Below are 24,187 nucleotides of genomic sequence, written 5' to 3'. Positions count from 1 at the left end.
CCCGGGAGATGGAGGTTGCAGTGTGCCGAGATTGCACCACTGTACTCCAGCCTGGGTGACAGATTCCATCTCAAAAAAAAGAAAAAAACAACAAAGTAACTCAGACTTACTCTTGAAATTACATTCAAAAAGGACAAGCACTCACACTGAACATGCTTAAGGAGTATGAATTATTAATTTAGGGAATATGCAGGGAAATTTTATTAAGATTCTTATTCCAATCAAGAAAGAATTTATTTCCGAAATAGCAAAATGAAATATTATTTTAAAAGATCTTCACAAGAGGTAATTATGAGGATAAATTTTTATTCAAAGCTTAATTGTACTCATTAGAAGTGTTCTGATTATGTCACTTGTGAAAAAATTCTTTGTGACAAACAACATCTAACACTCCTTGGAGAGTTAATGAAAACATCCTAAACCCCTGTGGGATGCCAACAGGAAAACAAACAGGGCAGCTCTCCTTTAGAGCAGCTCAGGTGCTCTTCTCCAAATACCTACCGTGATTCTTCCTCACCTGAGAGTAAGATGGGTCTACACCATCATGTTGGTCCCACCTTCCCCACCCTGACTCCCTGAAGTCAGAGAAGGAATAAAAAGGTCAAGAAGGAATGTTCTAGGTCACTTTGAAAGAAAATCTTCTCTCCTCCAAAACAAAGATCGGGGAAAACACTTATCCCCACTTAGATCAATTTCATATTTCATTTGGAGTTAGTAAAAGCAAAATATATGCAAATTATATGCAATTATAGCTAATCCTCATTTTTCTCCTCGCCCTAATTTCATCCCTAGTTCACACATGGGAGAGAGTCAGGCTAGACCTGCACCCATGTGGTCTAGCAATGTGCAAAAGCCATCTACCTCTAAGAAGGAAAGGGAAGTTCACCTGTTGAGTATTCAGCATGTGCCAGGCAAACCCGACTTCGTTTATTCTCACCGCCACCCAAGGAGATACAATTATCTCTATTTTCAGATGAGGAAATTGAGTTTCTACAGTTAAATTAACTTGCTCAAAGTCACAGAGAAGGTAAAGTAGCAGAGGGGAGATTTGAACCCTGGTCCATCTAGCTCCAAAGCTCAGCTCTTTCTGGCATAAAAAACTGCCACCTCAAGAATTCAAACATGGCTTGAAGTACCCATCTTGGATGGGTATTTTGACTGGTCTTTGTAACAAAGGAGACCATTCTCATTGTCTTAAACTCCTCCCCATTTTGAAAAGCTTTATTTGCCTATTAGTTTAACTTTGTAAGAGCAGCTATTGATGCAAAATTATTATGAGTATGTTTCATGCCTTTGTTTAGGTCAGCGTTTAGGAACACCTCTCTCAAAAAGGAAAGAGTAGGATTTTCCCAGCTTGGTGATTAAAGTGGAGATATACCTCAGGCATCAGAGGGAGGAGCATCTTAATCTTAAGGATCATCTCCAGGTTTACAACCTGCCCATTCCACCCTCCTCAGCCCTATGCCCTTGTACTACAGGTTCTCAACAGTAAGTGGTCTAACTCGTTTTTCCTGTTTTTTGATATTTTACACCCTCAGATACTCCCCCAAATAAAAGCTTCAAAATCGACTGGAAAGTTCTCTTAGACTTTTCTCCACCTTTGGTCACTTGAAGGCAGACGGTCCCACATCTACTAATCCCACAAATAATGAGATCGTGGACCAGGTTTGAACATGTCTGGTTATTTTACCTTGCTCAGATGGCATTTAGGATTTAGAAAACAAATTGCCCCTACCCAACTGCACGCTGTCCAAAGAAACAGTAATAATATAGACCAATGAGAACTATAAATAAAATCCTAAGCCCCCAACCGAGAAGACCCCCTTTTGGCCAAGAGTGCCCCAGAGAAATCTTAACTGAGTTCCTGGCCATGACAGAATGGGAGGTCAGACACAACTCATTTACTCCCTCCCTTCTGCGGTTCAGACACAGCTGACCAGCATTCATGTTAACATAGAGATCATCAAGACTGATAGAAATAGACTCTTTGTGGCAATAAAACACCAAATTATAAATAAGACCTAAGGCCATGCCAGACAAGGGTTAAATCCCACACCCCTACATTTGTCCTAACCATACACTATGTTCTAACCACCATAAGGTTGCTCTTTTTCTCCAGCAGCCAAACAAGCACTGGCCTCAAGATAAGCAAGATTAAAGCAATTGCGTAAGCCTACTATGTACCCACAAAAATTAAAAATAAAAACTTACAAAAAAATACAAAAAGAAAACAACTGCAGCTCATCCACCAACAGATACTGACTGACCCCTGTTCCACAAGCCATACAGCTTTGACTGGACAAGAAACTGATTTCAGTAACTTTCTCCTGATCAGAGACTAGCAGCCGTGGAATGGTTCTGGCCAGCTTGCAGAGGCTGCACGTGAGTGCCTTGTGTTCCTGCTTCACCTTTTTTTTTTTTTTGAGACGAAGTCTCACTCTGTTACCCAGGCTGGAGTGCAGTGGCACTGTGTCGGCTCACTGCAACCACCGTCTCCTGGGTTCAAGCAATTCCCCTGCCTCAGCCTCCTGAGTAGCTGGGATTGCAGGCGCCCACCACCACACCCAGCTAATTTTTATATTTTTAGAAGAGAAGGAGTTTCACCATGTTGGCCAGCTTGTCTCGAACTCCTGACCTCAGGTGATCCGCCCGCCTCGGCCTCCCAAAGTGCTAGGATTACAGGTGTGAGCCACCGCGCCTGGCCCCTGCTTCACCTTTTGATGTACAGGGCCTAATTGTAATACATTTAAATGTTAAGTCTCCACCCCAAAGTGAACATGGGATGTATGTAACACGAATGTTTGTTCATTACGCATGCATCAGGACCCCATTCACGGATATTCATAGCTCCTCCTATAACCTGTTGAATAGGAATGTATGGCCAACCTGTTCAGCATTAAGCTCTTGTCCCAACTCCATCTCCTTCTAAGTGCCTTTCAGTGTCTGCCAGAAGCTACGCTTCCAAGACTGTCAAGGATGGCCACCTTACAGGTTGTAACCCTTTATAATAAATAGTCTCCTTTCTACTTTTTTCTTTCACAGCTGGAGATCCTTTCTAAATTTATAATTGTGTCAATCTTTAGGTTGACACCACCAAAGGTAAATTCTGAAATTCCCTGAGAGTCAATAAGTTATTAGAGCTCTGGAAGGGGATGAGGTAGAAAAACCTTGTACTCAGTGAGGCTTACCAATGATCTCATTCAAGGCCCCTTACTTAAACAAAAATCCCTGTGAAGACTGTTAAATATACCTGTACCTCATGCCAGAGTTTTTCAACAGGTGTGCCAGGATGTCTTTGGTCGCCCAGCCTGTGAGCCAATCATCTGCAGTTCCAGATCCCCCTCAGTTTACTCCAGTATTTTGTACTAAGTCACCATTTTCCAAGTATGCCATGATGTAATGATAACTTGCTTACAGTTTAATGGTTGCAGCTTGAATCTATAAAATAGTGGTTCTCGAAATATGGTCTCCAGACCAGCTACATTAATATTACCGACCTAGGCCCCAGCCAGGCCTAGCGCACACATCATAAACTCCAGGGTGGGAGTGAGTGGGCTGTTTCAATGAGCCCTCCAGGTGATTCTGTTGCCTGCAAAAGTTTGAGAACTACTGACGTAGACACAATTCTCTTCTATGTTGCAGACCACTGTACCTCGTAAAGACCTACAAGTTAAGGGTCTCTTTTGCCTACAGTGATGCTCAAACCTGACAGTGCCTGGTTTTCTGGTCCAGGTGTCATAAAATAACCTAGAAAAACGGTGAGAAGGTTCACTCGGCATGAGAACAGCTGAGGGTACCTACTTTTATCACAGTGGAAACATTAGTTGATTCTCAGCCCTGAGAAGGACCTCTATCATACCATCAACACAATGGAAAAGGGAAGGAACACATCTTTCCCTAAAGGAGAGAAGGCACTTTGGCTTGTCATATCTATAAAGGGTTAGTCATTTGTGAAAAGGACACTAATGATCACGCAATAGACTATACTTCCTCAGGACTATGCCTCATAAAAAGTTGACCTTTACCCCATAAAAACTCTTATAAAAATCAAGAGTATCAGAGAAACTGGTTGAGTTTTGCCACCTCAGCAATTGCCAAAAGGTAAAAAGTAGAAGAGAAAACACATTAGGCCAATAAACATGACATGTTCAGAAGAAATATAAACCAAGACAACACTGATACACTTTTACACGTTTGACTGGAAAATATTATAAAGTCTAACACCACCAAGAGTTGCTGGTTTAGATTATATATGAAAAATAATTTGACATTGTCTTATAGAAATGTACACTCACAGGCCAGGCACGGTGGCTCACGCCTGTAATCCCAGCACTTTGGGAGGCTGAGGCGGGCGGATCATGAGGTCAGGAGATCGAGACCATCCTGGCTAACATGGCGAAACCCCGTCTAGACTAAAAATACAAAAAATTAGCTGGGTGTGGTGGCGGGCACCTGTAGTCCCAGCTACTCAGGAGGCTGAGGCAGGAGAATGGCGTCAACCCGGGAGGTGGAGCTCGCAGTGAGCCGAGATCGCACCACTGCACTCCAGCCTGGGTGACAGAGCGAGACCCTGTCTCAAAAAAAAAAAGAAAAGAAAAGAAAGAAATGTACACTCACAAACGCTGCATCCCAGAAGTTCCACTCTTAGGTACATAGCCAAGAGAAATGTTCACAAGTATAGGTGATTTAAAAATGTTCATGGGGCCAGGCGGGATTCACGGGATTACACTCACACCTGTAATCCCAGAACTTTGGGAGGCCAAGGCAGGTGGATCACTTGAGGTCAGGAGTTTGAGACCAGCCTGGCCAACATGGCAAAACCCTGTCTCTACTAAAAATACAAAAATTAGCCAGGTGTGGTGGCATACGCCTATAATCCCAGCTACTTGGGAGGCTGAAGTGGGAAAATTGCTTGAACCCGGGAGGCGGAGGTTACAGTGAGCCAAGATCATGCCACTACATTCCAGCCCAGGCAACAGAGCAAGACACTATCTTAAAAATAAATAAATAAAAAATAAAAATGTTCATGGCAGTTGTAATGGTCTTAATAATCCAAAACCCCATTAAAAGGAAACTGGATAAACTGCTGTGAAATGTGATAAAATAGAGGACCAGACAATGGCGACATCAGATGGACTTCAACTCCATCAACATGTATTAATCTATAACCTAACTCTGCGTAAAAAGGCAAATGCCAAGACACTACATGCAGGTACACCTTCTACAAAGTTAAAAAACACCCAAAACAAAATCATGTTGCTAAGTTATACATGTATGCAGGTAAAAACTTAAAAAGCAAATTATAATAAACTCAAAATTCTAGATAGGCTACCTCTGGGGGCAGGTAGAAGCAAGTAGATGAGAGAGTAAAAAATGTATAATGTAACTTAGTAATGTATTGTAATTATTAGGTGGGATGGTAGATCTGCAGGTGTTCATTATGAAACAATAAATGTACCAGGAATGCTATGCATGGACTAAAGGTGATAATGTCATAAACTAAGAATTGAATTAATCTATTTCTGTGCACCTGAAGTCCAGTTTTTGTTTTTAGAGACAGAGTCTCACTTTGTCACCCAGCCTGAAGTGCAGTGGCACATCTCGGCTCACTGCAACCTCCACCTCCCAGGTTCAGGTGATTTCCCACCTCAGCCTCCAGAGTAGCTGGGACTACAGGCATGCGCCACCAGGCCCAGCTAATTTTTGTATTTTCAGTAGAGACAGGGTTTCACCATGTTGGCCAGGATGGTCTCAAACTCCTGACCTCAACTGATCTACGCACCTTGGTCTCCCAAAGTGCTGGGATTACAAGTGTCAGCCACTGTGCTCAGCCTTAAAGTCCAGTTTTTAAAAAGGTAATCATTGGCCGGGCACGGTGGCTTACACCTGTAACCCCAGCACTTTGGGAGGCTGAGGCGGGTGGATCACCTGAGGTCAGGAGTTTGAGACCAGCCTGGCCAACGTGGCAAAACCCCATGTCTACTAAAAATACAAAAATTAGCTGGGTGTGGTGACACATGCCTGTAATCCCAGCTACTTAGGAGGCTGAGGCAGGAGAATCGCTTGAACCCGGGAGGTGGAGGTTGCAGTGAGCCGAGATCATGCCACTGCACTCTAGCCTGTGTGACAGAGCAAGACTTCATCTCAAAAAATAATTAAAAAAAAAAAAAAAGGTAATCATTAAGGTTTTTCCTAAGAATCTACTGGCATGGAAATGCTCAGTTAGGGTTCTAATCCTGGCTTTGTCACCCATATGTGACCCCAGGCATGTGGATGAAAATGCTTTCTGTTAATATAAAACCAAATTTAACGTAAACATCAATTTTGTCTATTCTCTAAAAATATTATCATATACTGTTAGAAAATGGCTTAATAGCCCCCTTTTACACAATTATGCTGGCCAAAATGTGTTCAAAAAAGGAAGAATAATCAAAAGACTCAACTTTCACCAAAAATTGTAAAATTTCAGAAAACACAATTTCAGTATTATTCAAGTTGACCATTTGGGAACAAAATTAAGTTAGTGTTTATCTCATACTATAATAAAAAACAAGCATCTCAATATGAATAAAGTTATGACATTTGGTAAATAGTAAATATCAATATTGGTCCATTAGTGGTGACAAATGCACCACACTAATGTAGGATGTTAACAATAGGGACAACTAGCTGCACTGTGGGTAGTGGCTCACACCTGTAATCCCAGCAGTTTGGGAGGCCAAGGCAGGAGAACTGCATGAGTTCAGGAGTTCAAGAATAGCCTGGGCGACATAGCGAACTCTGTCTCTACTTTAAAAAAAAAAAAGTCAGCCAGGCATAGCGGCACATGTCTGTAGTCCCAGCTACTTGGGAGGCTGAGGTGGGAGGACTGCTTGAGCCCAGCAGTCAAGGCTGTAGTAAGCTATGATTGCGCCATTGCACTCCAGCCTGGGCAACAGAGTGAGACCTTGCCTCAAGAAAAAAAAAAATAAAAGGGAAAACTGAGTGCCGTGGTATACAGAAATCCATCATACTATAATTGCAACTTTTCTGTAAATCTATTAATAAAACTATTCTAAAATGAAACATTTATCTTAAAAAACAAGGGGGGTGGTCCAGTGTATATCCTGGATGTTAAAAACAAAAACAAAAACACAAAAACTGGATTGGGTGCACGACACTTCTAAGTTTGCTAAAAATCACTGTAAATTTTTAATGGGTGATGACAATGTATGGTATATAAATTGTACCTCAATAAAGCTGTTTAAAAAAATATGTTTCTGGTGGTCTAAAGCTTCTGGTGATCTTAAAGGTCTAGGTTGGGCGAAAATAAAAACAAGAAATATGAGAGAGGAACATTACACCAATCAAGGATGTTAAAATGTACCAAGGACTGACATATGTTTAACTCAACCCTCTGCACACATTTAGTACACATGGGGTAAAAAAAATAAAACTTTAAAATACCAACGAAACTACAGGAGGGTATTATTTAAACCTTGAAGGGGGTGTAAAACTCTCTAGGAACAAAGATATGTAGAGGCCATAAAGAGACAGGAAATATAAGTACATAAAAAAATAAGAAGTCTGGGCATGGTGGCAAATGCCTACAATCCCAACACTTTGGGAGGCCAAGGCACAAGGATCACTTGAGGCCAGGAGTTCAAAACGAGCCTGGGTAACATAGTGAGACCCTCTCTCTTAAAACAAACAAAAAAACACTGTAGACAAAGATGAAAGACCACAATAATGTGGGAGAAGTTATCATCAATAAGACAAAATATTAATATCCATAATATAAAAAACTCTAGTCAGGAAAGAACGAACAATCACGGAAAACTAAGCCATGCTATGAAGATGTCAAGTGATGAAGAATAGGAAATAAGCATATGCTTAATCACCAAATTTTGAAAATGAAACTTTATTTTTACTTACTGGATTAACAAAAATTAATGACAGATAATAACCAGAACAGAAAAAAATGTTGGGAACTGAGCAATTTCATATACCATCAGGGTTAGTAGAATCTGCAGAGCTTTCAAAAACAATGCAACTTGGTAATCCCTTGTAAAATGCTTTTTTTCAAGAGATAGGGGTCTTGCTCTATTGCCTAAGCTGGAGTACAGTGACACAACCATAGCTCACTGCAGCCTCAACTCTTGAGCTCAAGAGATCCTTCTGTCTCATCCTCCCGAGTAGCTGGGACTAGAGTCGAGCTACCATGCCCAGCTAACCTAGTAAAATTTTAAGTGTGCACACTCAATGACTAGTTCTAGAAATTTATCTTACACAAACACTAGCAAGAGTGCATAAAGACATGTGAGAGAATGTTCACTGCAGCGTTATCTGTAATAGTAAACAACTGAACACAATTAAAATGTCCATAAATAGGAGAATGAATCATCGTATACTCATACTATGAAATACCACCCAGCTGCCAAGAGCAATTAGGTCTATGTGCTGACAGACTTGGAAAGATGTTCACAAAACAAAGTTTTTAAAAAAGCAAACTGCATACAACGTGTACATTATGATCCTATTTTTGGTTTTAAAATAACACCAATTTTTGGGTTTAAAATAAATTGGCTAGGCACGGTGGCTCATGCCTGTAATCCCAGCACTTTGGGAGGCCGACGCGGGTGGATCGCCTGAGGTCAGGAGTTCGACCAACGTGGTGAAACCCCATCTCTACTAAAAGTACAAAAATTAGCTAGACGTGGTGGCATGTGCCTGTAATCCCAGCTACTCAGGAGGCTGAGGCAGGAGAATCACTTGAATCCAGGAAGTGGAGATTGTAGTGAGCTGAGATTGCGCCATTGCACTCCAGCCTGGGTGACAGAGCGAGACTCCATCTCAAAACAAAAATCCCACCAAATTATTAAAAGTAACAACATTACATTATTTACCATGTGCAAGGTATTATACTAAGTATTTTACAAATATTAACAAGTTTGAGGCTGCAGTGAGCTATGACTGTACCACTGCACTCCAACACGGGTGACAGAGCTACACCCTGTCTCTAAATAAATAATAACAAAAGTAAAAAAAAAAATTTAAGGGAGTATGAGCATACTTCCAATTTAGAATAAGAAATAGGAAAGGAAAAAGATGATTAAAGAAAGTACCCCAGGCCAGGCATGGTGGCTCACGCCTGTAATCCCAGCACTTTGGGAGGCAGAGGATCACGTAGTCAGAAGTTTGAGGCCAGCCTGGCCAAGATGGTGAAACCCCGTCTCTACTAAAAATACAAAAATTAGCCGGGCACAGTGGCAGGCGCCTGTAATCCCAGCTACTTGGGAGGCTGAGGCAGGAGAATCGCTTGAACCCAGGAGACAGAGGTTGCAGTGAGCCGAGATAGTGCCACTGCGCTCCAGCCTGGGCAACAGAGCAAGACTCCATCTCAAAAAAAAAAAAAAAGTACCCCATAGTGGTAACTTAAGTTGACATAATTTTCTTTATACAGGCCAGGCATGGTGGCTGACGCCTATAATCCTAGCACTTTGGGAGGCCGAGGCAGGCAGATCACCTGAGGTCAGAAGTTTGAGACCAGCCTGGCCAACATGACAAAACCCCATCTCTACTAAACATACAAAAAGTAGCTGCACATGGTGGCAGGCACCTGTAATCCCAGATACTCGGAAGGCTGAGGCAGGAGAATCACTTGAACCTGGAAGCGGGAGGCTGCAATGAGCTGAGATCGTGCCATCGCACTCCAGCCTGGCAACAGAGCGAGACTGTCTCAAAAACAAACAAACAAACAAAAATTACTTTATACAGTTGGCCCTTGAACAACCAGGTTTGAACTGCATGGGTCCACATATACGTGGATTTTTTTCAACTAAACATAGATGGAAAACAGTATTGGCGGAATGCAAAACCCAGGTATCCAGAGGGCCAATTTTTCATACACATGGGTTCCACCGACTACAGGACTTGAATATGCATGGATTTGGGTATACATGGGGGTCCCGGAACCAACCACCTGAGTATACCAAGGAATGACTGCACTTCACTGTATTTTCCAAATCATCCATACTTAACCAAATAAAATATTTAATTAAAAAAATCAGATCTGAAATTTGAGGGCAGAACAAAACAAAGACCTGCAAAGTTTAATTAAACAAATCTTAAAACATTTAAAATACAAACTGGTATCCATCTGAGTGACTATAAAAGACCAGGTTAAAAACCAAGCAGCGTGCAAACATGAGCTGTTTATTTTACAAGGAACAAGATATCCAGAAAAAGGAAGGGGGAAAAAAAGCCCTAAGAAGGGCAGAGAAACCACTGTGTTGAGCCAACAGGGACAGGGAATTATAAAACTCTAAATTTTCTCACAGATTATACAAAAGGGATAAAACTTGTTTTAAACACTGAAGGCACAGCTTTTGACTACCCTCTGCTCTGAGAGGTGGGAGGGCAGGAGGCGTGTTATAATCCTGAAGATGCTAAAAATCCAAGAAGGAAGTCAGTAAGATTTAGTAACATAATAAAATTCTAGACCGACCCCAATCTGTAGGGAGGGATTAAACTAATATTGAGTAGCTAATTGTTACTGTAGTACTTTTTTGTTTTGCTTTTTTGAGACAGGGTCTCACTCTGTCACCCAGGCTGGAGTGCAGTGGCGAGATCATGCCTCACTGCAGCCTTGACCTCCCAGGCTCCAGCAATCCTCCCACTTCAGCTTCCCAAGCAGCTGGGACTACAGGCACCTGTGCCCACGTCCGGCTAATTTTTTAAATTTTTTGTAGAGATAGGGTCTTGCCTTCTTGCCCCAGATGGTCTTAAACTCCTGGGCTCAAGTGATCCTCCTTGGCCTCGCAAGTACTGGGATTACAGACATGAGTTTTTCTTTTCCCCCCGAATCAGCCATTATTAGCTATATGGGGAGTAACCTGTCTCAGCTCTTTGCAATCAATCAAACCCAAATTTTAATTCTCCTTTAGTGCAAGTAGTTAATTCTAGATTCTCATCCACTATTTTAAGTAGAGATTGTTTTGATATTAATTTCTCATGACCAAAAGGAAGAAAACTCCCTAATCTACTCCACTGTGAACAGTTTAGATGCAGGATGACACAATTCCACAGCGATGGCCACATTATCAGGGTGAAACTAATCAGGCAGAAATGAGAGTAACAGGCTACATCTGCCTGTTCCATCAATTAAGGAAATAATGAGAACGTGGTATTGAATTCCGCGACATGAACTTGGGCAGGTGAGGGGAGAATAGAAAGAAAGGCAAAATATCTGTGGTTAAACCACCTCCAAATAATTTATTTTAAATAGGCTTTCTGAGGCATTTCAGTTCAAAAAACTGAAGGGCAGAGGAAAAGAAATGAGGAATTTGCCTCTGGTTAAGAATCACATAAAACATTAGTTTGGGCAAAATCATATATCTGCTATTCAACAGACAATTCTTTTACATACAATGAAAATACTTGTTACTAGAGAGAAACAATGAAGTCCACATGCAACAACCCACAGGCTATCAAATTTCCAGAGGTTCAAGGAGGAATTTTATTAAAATAATACCTTCTTAAAAGCTAAGTAGTTCTTTCACCTTAATCATCATCACCTCCATAAGTTACAACAGCTATCTTTTGCCAAATTATCAAAAGCAACTAGAACTGATTAAACCTTCATGACAGTAAAATCAGATGAGAGGCCAAAGTTCACTGGGACTCTAATATTACTGGCATTGGTCTCCCTTGAGTCGGGTTTGTTGTTTTTAAGCCTCTTGAAACCTTAAGTAAACAAATCTAACTGCCAACGAAAACTAACACACCCAGAAACTCTCAGCGAAACATTTACTTCATAGCTCATAATATAGACCTGTCCTATTCCAGCTACAAGTGGCCTTGCCTGGAGGTAAATGTCGAAAGAAAACACTTCCTAACACCTTCACACTTTAAAGTGAGGGAAAAAAAAAACAGGGCTTCAAGTCAAGGGCAGGGACATAAGAACTATCGTCTCAGTGGTGAATACATACCACAGCCTTCCTGGCTTTCCTAAGACTGCTTCATTTTTGCTCCTTAATTAACCAGAAAAAAATTTCATCTATCTTCCTAGATTTCCTTAAAAATCAGACTTACAGAATGTTAGAGCTAAGCCTTCAAGATATTGTCTTGCCTATAATCCCAGCACTTTGGGAGGCCAAGGCAGGCAGATCACTTGAGGTCAGGAGTTCGAGACCAGCCTGGCCAACGTGGTGAAACCCCATCTCTCCTAAAAATACAAAAAAATTAGTCAGGCATGGTGGTATGCACCTATAGTCCTAGCTACTCGGGAGGCCAAGGCAGGAGAATCTCTTGAACCCGGGAGGCGGAGGTTGCAGTGAGCCAATATTGCACCACTGTACTCCAGCCTGAACGACAGAGCCAGAAGCCGTCTCAAAAAAAAAAAAAATATATATATATATATATATTAATGTCTTTACCCCAGACCTGACTAGCAGCAGCCAGCATCCATCTTTAGCCACCCCACTCCCAGTGGCCAAAATAAACCTTCCTGGGAACCTGTGGCCATACCTTCATGACAATAAATCAATCTGCTCAAAGAACCCTGTGATGTCAGTTTCTGAGGTAGCTTCTAACAGGACCCTAACAGGATTTCTTAGAAAAAGTTTCACTCCAAACATCTTTTCATTTTTATTTTTTTCCGAGACAGGGTCTCACTCTGCCATCCAGGCAAGAGTGCCAGTGGCAGAATAACAGCTCACTGCAGCTTCAACCTCCCATGCTCCAGTGATTCTATCACCTCAGCCTCCTGAGTAGCTGGGACTACAGGCATACATCATCATGCCCAGCTAATTTTTTTTTTATTTTTTGTAGAGACAGGGTCCCATTATGTTGCCTAGGTTGTTCTCAAACTCCTGGACTCAAGTGATCCTTCCACCTTGGCCTCCCTAAGTGCTGGGATTCCAAGTGTGAGCCACCACACCTGGCCTCTAAAAAGCTCTAAAAACAGTTTACTAACACTCATTTGGGAGGCATCTTTAAAGAGGAACTTTCCAGGCTTTCAGCAAATCACATCATATAGGAAGCTTGGTAAGATTAATAGTATATATTTTTAAAAGGAAATTTTTCTAATCTGTCTTTGCCTCACTGAAGTATTTCATAATGTTAACTCAGAATTAGTCACTGTGGTTTGTCATGCTGTTATCTATGTCAAAAGTTTTGCCCTCTCCCTCTCCCCCCTCTCCCTCTCCCCACGGTCTCCCTCTCCCTCTCTTTCCACGGTCTCCCACTGATGCCGAGCCGAAGCTGGACTGTACTGCTGCCATCTCGGCTCACTGCAGCCTCCCTGCCTGATTCTCCTGCCTCAGCCTGCCGAGTGCCTGCGATTGCAGGCGCGCGCCACCACGCCTGACTGGTTTTCTTATTTTTTTGGTGGAGACGGGGTTTCGCTGTGTTGGCCGGGCTGGTCTCCAGCTCCGAACTGCGACTGATCCGCCAGCCTCGGCCTCCCAAGGTGCCGGGATTGCAGACGGAGTCTGGTTCACTCAGTGCTCAATGGTGCCCAGGCTGGAGTGCAGTGGCGTGATCTCGGCTCGCTACAACCTCCACCTCCCAGCCGCCTGCCTTGGCCTCCCAAAGTGCCAAGATTGCAGCCTCTGCCCGGCCGCCACCCCGTCTGGGAAGTGAGGAGCGTCTCTGCCTGGCCGCCCATCGTCTGGGACGTGAGGAGCCCCTCTGCCTGGCTACCCAGTCTGGAAAGTGAGGAGCGTCTCTGCCCGGCCGCCATCCCATCTAGGAAGTGAGGAGCGCCTCTTCCCGGCCCCCATGCCATCTAGGAAGTGAGGAGCGTCTCTGCCCGGCCGCCCATCGTCTAAGATGTGGGGAGCGCCTCTGCCCCGCCACCCCGTCTGGGATGTGAGGAGCGCCTCTACCCAGCCGCGACCCCGTCTGGGAGGTGAGGAGCGTCTCTGCCCAGCCGCCCCGTCTGAGAAGTGAGGAGACCCTCCGCCTGGCAACCGCCCCATATGAGAAGTGAGGAGCCCCTCCGCCCGGCAGCCACTCTGTCTGGGAAGTGAGGAGCGTCTCTGCCCGGCAGCTACCCCATCCGGGAGGGAGGTGGGGGGGTCAGCCCCCCGCCCGGCCAGCCGCCCCGTCCGGGAGGGAGGTGGGGGGGTCAGCCCCCCGCCCGGCCAGCCGCCCCGTCCGGGAGGGAGGTGGGGGGGGGTCAGCCCCCCGCCCGGCCAGCCGCCCCGTCCGGGAGGTGAGGGGCGCCTCTGCCCGGCCGCCCCTACTGGGAAGTGAGGAGCCCCTCTGCCCGGCCAGCCGCCCCGTCTGGGAGGGAGGTAGGGGGGTCAGCCCCCTGCCCGGCCAGCCGCCCTGTCTGGGAGGTGAGGGGCCCCTCTGCCCGGCCGCCCCTACTGGGAAGTGAGGAGCCCCTCTGCCCGGCCAGCCGCCCCATCCGGGAAGGAGGTGGGGGGGTCAGCCCCCCGCCCGGCCAGCCGCCCCATCCGGGAGGTTAGGGGCGCCTCTGCCCGGCCGCCCCTACTGGGAAGTGAGGAGCCCCTCTGCCCGGCCAGCCGCCCCGTCCGGGAGGGAGGTGGGGGGGTCAGCCCCCCGCCCGGCCAGCCGCCCGGTCCAGGAGGTGAGGGGCGCCTCTGCCCGGCCGCCCCTACTGGGAAGTGAGGAGCCCCTCTGCCCAGCCACCACCCCGTCTGGGAGGTGTACCCAACAGCTCATTGAGAAAGGGCCATGATGACAATGGCGGTTTTGTGGAATAGAAAGGGGGGAAAGGCGGGGAAAGGATTGAGAAATCGGATGGTTGCCATGTCTGTGTAGAAAGTGGTAGACACGGGAGACTTTTCATTTTGTTCTGTACTAAGAAAAATTCTTCTGCCTTGTGATCCTGTTGATCGGTGACCCTACCCCCAACCCTGTGCTCTCTGAAACATGTGCTGTGTCCACTCAGGGTTAAATGGATTAAGAGTGGTGCAAGATGTGCTTTGTTAAACAGATGCTTGAAGGCAGTATGCTCGTTAAGAGTCATCACCACTCCCTAATCTCAAGTACCCAGGGACACAAACACTGCAGAAGGCCGCAGGGTCCTCTGCATAGGAAAACCAGAGACCTTTGTTCACTTGTTTATCTGCTGACCCTCCCTCCACTATTGTCCTATGACCCTGCCAAATCCCCCTCTGTGAGAAACACCCAAGAATGATCAATAAAAAAAAAAAAAAGTTTAAAAGGCCTGCCACCTGCTATTCCAAAAACACTCTTGCCAATCTTGACCCACGAGAGCACCTTTGGCAATGGTTTCTGTTTATCTCCAAAATGATAAGCAGAAAAATAAAAGGGAGTAGAGGGAAGAAGTAGTTTTTGTTTTGCAAAGGCCAAGTTCTTTCTGCATGATTTTTTTAGAAGCCATTTCTTTTCAAAACCAAGATTCACTCCTTGAAAATGGAAATCTGATTTTCACCTTTTAGTAAAACCATTTCCACTTAGCCCATCCTCTTAAAATTCTGAGTAAAAACCAATGCAACAACCTTTGCAACATATACAAACATTAATTCTAAGAATAAAGTTTAACAAAGCACTAAAAATTCAGACACAAATTTGGGGCTTTAATAAAAGATGTAAAGTTATTTTTTAACACTTACCCACTCCTCGACATTGGGGGGCTGCTCATCATAAATGTGTTCCTTGTCCCACAAAATATTGGACTTGTCATACCTGTCCATCTTTCTTCGAGTTTTCACAGCAAAGAAAATTATTAAAGCAAAAGCCACAATAATCATGAACCCCAGTACAATGGCAATGGCCTAAAAAGGAGTGGAAAATATTGGCATAATTAGATTTTAATTGCTTAATCACAATTCACCCTCTACATATTATTAAAACCCTTATCTACCCTAAGGCCCTACTAAATCCATGTGGTTTAATTGATAGAAAACTGAAGCAAATAGTTACATTTCAGACATATCATAAAACCTAACCCACACTAACTGGGCTAAGGCCAGCAAATGTACACACACGTACATACTGCTTGACTCAATCCTCAGAAAATGCCTAATGTTAGGAACTATCAATCATCACCCTCATTTCAGAGCTGTAAAAAACTAGTTCCAAAGCTTGTACACCTACGGGCCAAGCTTTGTGCACCTACGAGAATGGCCAGTAAAGTAACTCAATCATTGGTATACTTCTAAAGGGCCTGAAAAATGCTACTCTCAAAAGTATTCACAGCTTTGAAATAGCCAATCATGCTTGTAATCTTGTTCAAAACATATGCTTGGCAAGCCTTTTTACACTGAATGTAAATTTCTGTCCATAGATCTCTATCTTACCAAAAATGATGAAGACATGGATCTAATCAAGCTATAAATAGCAAATTGACTAATGATTGATTTGGTCTGGCAGGTTTCTCTGTTTCAGGAGTCTTGCATACTACTAGAAAGGGCCCTGTAACAAAGAAACTTCCTACTCTTAACAGTTCTCCCAGTGGTGATAGGATATTAAATGGTATATTGGCCTGGGAGGCACTTGAAGTTGAGGGAAATATCAGGCCTCTACCCTGGATGTCTGCTAATGGGAACAAGAGGCTCTCCTTCCAGCTGTCTTGACAGTGACATCATTTTTCAAAGAGTAAGTAGTAAGAGAACTAAGAGGGATAGGGGTGTGGTAGGATAGGAGTACCAACCCTCAGTCCCTATCTACCATGGACATGTCTAAATGGCAACAACGAGCACTGTGAAAACCTACGTCTGCAGGGAAAACCTTCAGTCTTCTAAATAATGGTAGACAGATACTAGAGGTCTAACTCCAAAGGAGTGACTCATTCAGGAATGGGAACTCCTGAGTTAGTGTAAGAAAAAAGGAAAAACAAGGGAAAAAAGATCAGTAACTCAGAAACATTTCAGATATTAATATAATCAGTATGACTCATGGTTACTAAAGTAGGTTTCTCAACTCCAACCTGCACATTTGAATCACTTGCTTAGCTTTTAAACATACTAACTTACACTCTGAAAACTATAAAACACTATTAAAAGAAGTTTAACAAGACCTACATAAATCAAAAGAATCTTACGTTCATGAATCAGAAGACTTGTAATTGTAAAGATGACAATACATCCAAAATTGACCTACAGATTCAATATAACCCTTCAAAATCCTAGCTGGCATTTTTTTCCAAAATTGACATGCTGATCTTAAAATCCATATGGAAATGCAAGGAATCCAGAATCTAGCCAAAACAGTCTTGAAGAACAAAGTTGGAGAACTCCCACTCCACAATTTCAAAACTTACTATAAAGTTACAGTAATCAAGACAGTATGGTACTGGCATTAGGACATATGATTAATGCAGCTGAACTGAGAGCCCAGAAATAAATGTCCACATTTATGATCAATTCATTTTTGACAAAGGCATGAAGAAAACTTAGTGGAGGAACAGTCCTTTCAACAAGTAACACTGAGACAACTGCATATAAACATGCGAAAGCTTTCAGAACCCTTGCTTCCATCATGCCCAAAATTAACACAACATGAATCACAGACCTAACTGTAAAAGCTAAAATTATGAAACTATAGAAAAATTAAATAATAGAAAACATAGGAGTAAATCCTTGTGACCCTGAATTAGGCAAAGCATTAGATATGACACCAAAAATACAAGCAACAGAAGAAAAATTAAATAAACTGGACATCATCAAAACTAAAAATTTTTTTTTTTTTTTTTTTTTTGAGACAGAGTTTTGCTCTTGTTGTCTAGGCTGGAGTGCAGTGGCACAATTTCAGCTCACTGCAACCTCCACCTCCTGGGTTCAAGTGATTCTCCTGCCTCAGCCTACTGAGTAGCTGGGATTACAGGCACGCCACCGTGTCCAGGTAATTTTTCTATTTTTAGTAGAGATGGAGTTTCACCATGTTGGCCAGGCTGGTCTCGAACTCCTGACCTCAGGTGATCCGCCCACCTTGGCCTTCCAAAGTGCTGGGATTACAGGCGTGAGCTACCATGCCCGGCCCAAAACTAAAAGCTTTTATGCAAAGGACACCATCAAGAAAGTGAAAAGATGCCTATAATCCCAGCGGTTTGGAAGGCCAAGGCAGGATCACTTGAGCCCAGGAGTTCCAGCCCAGACCGGGCAACAAAGTGAGACCCTGTCTCTACAAAAAATTTTTTAAAAAATTATCCGGGTGTGGTGGCATGCCCCTGTGGTCCTAGCTACTCAGGAGACTGAGGTAGGAGGGTCACTTGAGCCCAGGAGGTCAAGGATGCAGTGAGCTGTGACTGCACCACTGCACCCCAGCCTGGGTGACAGTGAGACTCTGTCTCAAAAACAAAACAACAACAAAAATAGCCCAATTAAAACATGGGCAAGTCTAGGCCGGGCACAGTGGCTCACACCTGTAATCCCAGCACTTTGGAGGCCGAGGCGGGCGGATCACGAGGTCAGAAGATAGAGACCATCGTGGCTAACACGGTGAAACCCCATCTCTACTAAAAATACAAAAAAAAAAAAAAATTAGCTGGGCGTGGTGGCCGGTGCCTGTAGTCCCAGCTATTCAGGAGGCTGAGGCAGGAGAATGGTGTGAACCCAGGAGGCGTAGCTCACAGTGAGCAAAGATCACACCACTGCACTCCAGCCTGGGCGATAGAGCAAGACTCCGTCTCAAAAAGAAAAAAAAAATGGACAAGTCTAAACAGCCATTTCTCCAAAGATAAGAGAGAAATGGCCAATAAGTACATGACTATATAGCTAATAACATTAGCTATAAAGAAAATACGAATCAAAATCACAATAAAGCACCACTTCACTTCTCACCCATCAGCATGGCTAGAATCAGACAATAACAAGTGTTGGTGAGGATGTGGAGAAATTGGAACTTTCATACATTTCTGATGTGAATGTAAAATGATGCAAACTCTTTGGAAAAACTCTGGTAGCTCCCCAAAAGATTAAAGAGTCACCATATGACCCAGCAATTCCACCCCTAGGTATAACCCAACTCAAGAAATCATTAAAACATAGGTTCACACAAAAACGTATACAAGAATGTCTATAGCATGATTCTTTTTTTTTGAGATGGAGTCTTGCTCTGTCGCTCAGGCTGGAGTGCAGTGGCGCAATCTCAGCTCACTGCAAGCTCCGCCTCCCGGGTTCACGCCATTTCTTCTGCCTGAGCCTCCCGAGTAGCTGGGACTACAGGTGCCTGCCACCATGCCCAGCTAATTTTTTTTGTATTTTTAGTAGAGACGGGGTTTCACCTTATTAGCGAGGATGGTCACAATCTCCTGACCTCATGATCCGCCCGCCTCAGCCTCCCAAAGTGCTGGGATTACAAGCATGAGCCACCGTGCCCAGTCTAGCATGATTCTTAATAGCCAATGTAGACACAAATGTCTATCAACTGATAAATAAAATGTGGTTTATCCACACACTGGAATATTAGCAATAAAAAGGAATGAGAGAATGGCACAAGCTATGACATGGGTAAACCTTAAAAACATTATGCTACGTAAAAGAAGCCCATCACAAAGACCACATTGTGTGATTCCATTTATATGAAATACCTAGAGAATAGACAAATTTATAGATGTAGGATTAGTGGTTGCCTAGGGCTAAGAATGGTTAGGGAAATGAGGAGTGACCGCTAACGGGTACAAGTTTCTTTTTAGGATAGTGAAAATGTTCTAAAATTGATTGTGGTGATGGTGGCACAATTCTGTGAATATATTAAAAACCACTGAACTGTTATTTAAGTAATCAAATTACATGGTATGTTAATCATATCTTAATGAGACTCAGCCCCTCCCCCAGATTTAATTAGAAGTGGAGCCTTGTCATCAATATTTTTTAAGAGTTTCCAGAGTGATTCTATCACATATCTCAAGTTGAAGGCCTCTGCTAAGGAGATGGAGAAAAAACCCAAAACACCACTCATACCTCCTGGGGATCCACAACACAGTAGTGATACAAATACTGATCCACGTAGAGTCCAGTAGCTGCAGGTGTATAAAATTGGTTGCAGAGGGCATATATTTGTGAACCATATAGAGATCCAGAAGACTGAGCAGTTGGGTTCACTCCCATTATATAGACAATTGTGGCAATAAACACCATGATGCCCAGGATAGCACTCACTATTATCACACTTAAGTAGTATCTTCTTGTTCTGGACATTTCAGATCTTATAACACTGGTAACAAAGATCACCAACGCGGCAATGAAACAAAAGGCAGCCATGGCCAACATGAAGCCCTTTGCTGCTCTTGGGTCTGTATAGCCTCCGTAGCCATAGCCATAACCATAGCCATAGCCATAGCCACTTCCGTAGCTACCAAAGCCACTTCCTCCATAAGGGTAGCCTACACTACCTCCTAAAAGGGAAGTTCCATAGCCTCTGTCCCAGGCAAGCGTGGAGGCCACACAGGCAAAGATGGCAATGCACATCACAATAATGAGCATAGACAGGATCCGAATCACTCCTGGAGGAGAGGTCCATTTGTAGAAGTGAAGAATTTCATCTTCTGGGTAAAAAGAGTAGGCTGGCTGAGAGAGCATTGGTCGAACATGCATCTCTCCACCATATATGTCATTGCTTGGTGCATAATGATTCGGTTTGCTGAAATGAACATGAAAATAATTTCAAGTTAGCATTTTTTGGTAGTAAGCAGAAAGAACACAACTTATTTGGAATAATTTAAACCATTGGGTAAATGAAACTAAAGCTTATCTGTGCACAGGAATCACCTGGAGGGCTTGTTAAAACATAAGATTATTGGCCTCTAGCCACAACCCATTCTGCTCAGACATTTGGGTTATCTCTGTTTGGGGGTATTGTAAACAGTTTAACTATAAACATCCTTGAATGTGTATTCTGGTACGGAACAGTACTTATTTTTCTAGGGTATATAACCAGGAGAATTTCTGGATCACATATTTTTATATCTTCAACTTCACTAGACAGTATCAAACTGTTTTCCAAAGTGATTGTACCAATTACCTACAGTGGAATGGGTAACTGTAATATATCCATACAATGGAATACTCCATAGCTATACTGTCCAATGTGGCAGCCACTAGCCACTTGGGTCTATCATACACTTGAAATGTATCTAGTCCGGCTGGGCACGGTGGCTCATGTCTGTAATCCCAGCACTTTGGGAGGCCAAGGCGGGTGGATCACTTGAGGTCAGGGGTTCAAGACCAGCCTGGCCAACATGGTGAAACCCCATCTCTACTAAAAATACAAAAATTAGCCAGACGTGGTGGCATGCGCCTGTAATCCCAGCTACTCAGGAGGCTGAGGCACGAGAATTGCTTGAACCCGGGAGGTGGAGGTTGCAGTGAGCCGAGATCGTGCCATTGCACTCTACCCTGAGTGACAGAGCAAGACTCCGTCTCAAAAAAAAAGAAATGTGGCTAGTCCAAACTGAGATACGCTGTTAAAATGCACAGTGGAGAGTCTGAGGTGGGCAGATCACTTGAGGCCAGGAGTTTGAGACCAGCCTGGAGAACATGGTAAAACCCTATCTCTACTAAAAATACAAAAATTAGCCAGGCATGGTGACACATGCCTGTAATCCCACTTACTTGGGAGGCTGAGGCACGAAAATCAAGAATCCCTTGAACCCAGGAGGCAGAGGTTGCAGTGAGCTGCGATCACACCCACTGCACTCCAGCCTGGGTGACAGGGCAAAAAAATTTAAAAATGCACAATGGATTTCAAAGATATAATATGAAGAAAGAATGTAAAATATTTCCTGAATCATTCATTTTTTACATCAATCACGTGATGAAGTAATGTTTTAGATATACAAGATTAAGTGAAATATATTAAAATTAATTTCTTCTTTTGGCCAGGCACGGTGGCTCACGCCTGTAATCCCAGCACTCTGGGAGGCCGAGGCGGGTGGATCACCTGAGGTCAGGAGTTCGAGACCGGCCTGGCTATCCTGGTGAAACCCCATCTCTACTGAAAATACAAAAACTAGTTGGGCGTGGTGGTGTGTGCTTGTAATCCCAGCTACTTGGGAGGCTGAGGCAGGAGAATCACTTGAACCCAGGAGGTGGAGGTTGCAGTAAGCCGAGACCGTGCCATTGCACTCCAGCCTGGGCAAAAAGAGCAAAACTCTGTCTTAAAAAAAAAAAATTATCTTTTTATTTTTAATGAAAGTATAAAATTACATATATGGCTCATGTTATATTTCTACAGTGCTATGAAGCCAAAACTGATGAACTATGAATACATGCAGTTACAGGTAATGCTGAAAAAAATGAAAAAATACATATCGCATTATTATATTTACATAAAGTTTTAAAACAGGTAAAACTGGCCAGATGTGGTGGCTCACACCTATAATCCCAGCACTTTAGGAGGTGGGCGGGTCACCTGAGGTCAGGAATTTGAGACCAGCCTGGCCAACATGGCGAAACCCCGTCTCTACTAAAAGCATAAAAATTGGTTGTGCATTGTGGTGGTTACCTGTAATCCCATCTACTTGGGAGGCTGAGGCAGGAGAATTGCTTGAATCCAGGAAGTGGAGGTTGCAGTGAGCCAAGATTGTGCCACTGCACTCCAGCCTGGGCAACAAAGTGAGAGTCTGTCTCAAAAATAAATAAATAAAACAGGTAAAACTAAACTGAAATGTTTAGGATATACAAGATGATAAAATGATAAAAGCAGGTAATGATCATACGTCAGGACAGTGGTCTCCAGAGAAAAGGAGAGGACACAGGGAAGGACTTTGAAGTGTTCTGTTTCTTGACCTGGGTGATGAGTATGTATGTTTGCTTGGTCTTTCCTCATGATCTCCTACATATGTTCTGTGTCCTTTTCTTTATGTATGTTGCAGTTCACCATTATTTACAAAAGCAACACAAAATAAGTGTCAGATTAGTGGTGCATTACTCAATTACTATATTCTCTAGTATGTTTTAAAAACTGTATTGTCATAAACAACTTGTGTCCCCACCATGTTTTAGGCACTAGTAAGGAGGTTAAAGAACTGGAACACAACCTTCACGTGATATTGTAAAATATGTATTTAGTCTTCATCTCCATTTTCTGGCATACAACTCCTAAAATCTTTGGACTCTCCAAAGTGATAAGTATCCCTTATATGCTAATGAGATGATAGGTTCCTGGCAGCCCTAGGAAGCTTCAGGATGGGAGCTAGGATTAGAGGGTTGGAACTTTTCAGCCCCAACCCTCTCTGGACAGGAAAGAGGGGCTGAAGCTTAAACTGCTCACCAATGGCCAATGATTTAGTCAATCATGCCTATGTCATAAAGCTTCCATAAAAACCCAAAAGGACCGAATTCACAGAACTTCTGGACAGCTGAACATGTGCAAGTTCCTGGAGGGTGGCACAACCAGGGAGGGCTGCTTCCCACATACCTCGCCCTGTCCACCTCTTCATCTGGTGTTTGTTGGCATCCATTGTAATATCATTTGTTTGTTCATTCATTCATTCATTCTTAAAAGACAGGGTTTCCCTATGTTGCCCAGGCTGGCCTCAAACTCCTGGGCTCAAGCAATCCTCCTGCCTCAGCCTTCTGAGTAGCTGGGATAACAGGCATGCACCACCACACCTGGCTTTTGTAATACCCTTTATAATAAACCAGTAATGGTAAGTACTGTTTCCCTGAGTTCTGCAAGCCACTTTAGCAAATTAATTGCACCCAAGGAGACAACTGTGGGAATCCTGATTTACTGTAGGTGGGTCAGAAACACAGGCCACAACCTGAGCTTGTGGCTGCTACGTGAAGTGGGGGCAGTCTTGTGGGAATGAGCCCTGAACCTGTGATCTGATGCTATCTCTGACAGTGTCAGAATTGAACTGATAATTAGAGGACACACAGCTATTGTCCACTGTAGAACTGATTACTTGGTTGCTGGTGGGGAAATATCCCCACAAATTCTGGTGATCAGAGGTCACAGATGTGTTGTGACAGAACAGCAGGAGAAACTGTTTGTTTTTGCCTATATCACACTCCACTACACTTATCATGGTTAAAGCTGCAAACTACTTAGAGGAGGAAATCCCTATCAATGTTTGATAGCAAATTTGGAATTCAAAAATTCACTGATAAGTCTTCACATGACCAAGGAGCCCAAAACCCCTCAACACTGCTTGTTTTAGATCATGGCAGGAATCACTCTTAAAACTGACAGTATGGAAAGTATTATGCTAAGTGAAAGAAGCCAGTTACAAAAGGCCACATATTACGTGATTTCTCCATTTATA

At 43.4% G+C, this 24,187-nt stretch overlaps 1 protein-coding gene across 7 annotated transcripts in view, besides 1 other annotated feature; it reads right to left on the bottom strand.

Moving 5' to 3' along the window:
- OCLN (occludin) overlaps nucleotides 1-24,187 on the bottom strand; it is a 65,558-nt gene that overhangs the window by 28,405 nt on the left and 12,966 nt on the right. For 4 of the 7 annotated variants that reach the window (NM_001438604.1, NM_002538.4, NM_001205254.2 and 1 more), the window contains exons 3-4: nucleotides 19,881-20,559; nucleotides 15,591-15,752 (exon numbers count right to left, since the gene is read on the bottom strand). In NM_001438604.1, the coding sequence (NP_001425533.1) occupies nucleotides 15,591-15,752; nucleotides 19,881-20,559 (841 nt within the window). The remainder of the gene's footprint in view (nucleotides 1-15,590; nucleotides 15,753-19,880; nucleotides 20,560-24,187) is intronic. The other 3 variants (NM_001410743.1, NM_001438048.1, NM_001205255.2) reach the window with 2 other exon arrangements.
- Nucleotides 11,708-12,589: an enhancer, noted in NCBI's record as "H3K27ac hESC enhancer chr5:68812938-68813819 (GRCh37/hg19 assembly coordinates)". NCBI's record gives its function as "activates a minimal SCP1, AML or CMV promoter by ChIP-STARR-seq in primed H9 embryonic stem cells {active_cell/tissue: H9 hESC(primed)}" and the evidence as "EXISTENCE:reporter gene assay evidence [ECO:0000049][PMID:30033119]".

The sequence above is a fragment of the Homo sapiens genome, chromosome 5, assembly GCF_000001405.40.
Source record: "Homo sapiens chromosome 5, GRCh38.p14 Primary Assembly".
NCBI lineage: Eukaryota > Metazoa > Chordata > Mammalia > Primates > Hominidae > Homo > Homo sapiens.
This window is presented reverse-complemented; position numbering and strand designations above follow the sequence as displayed.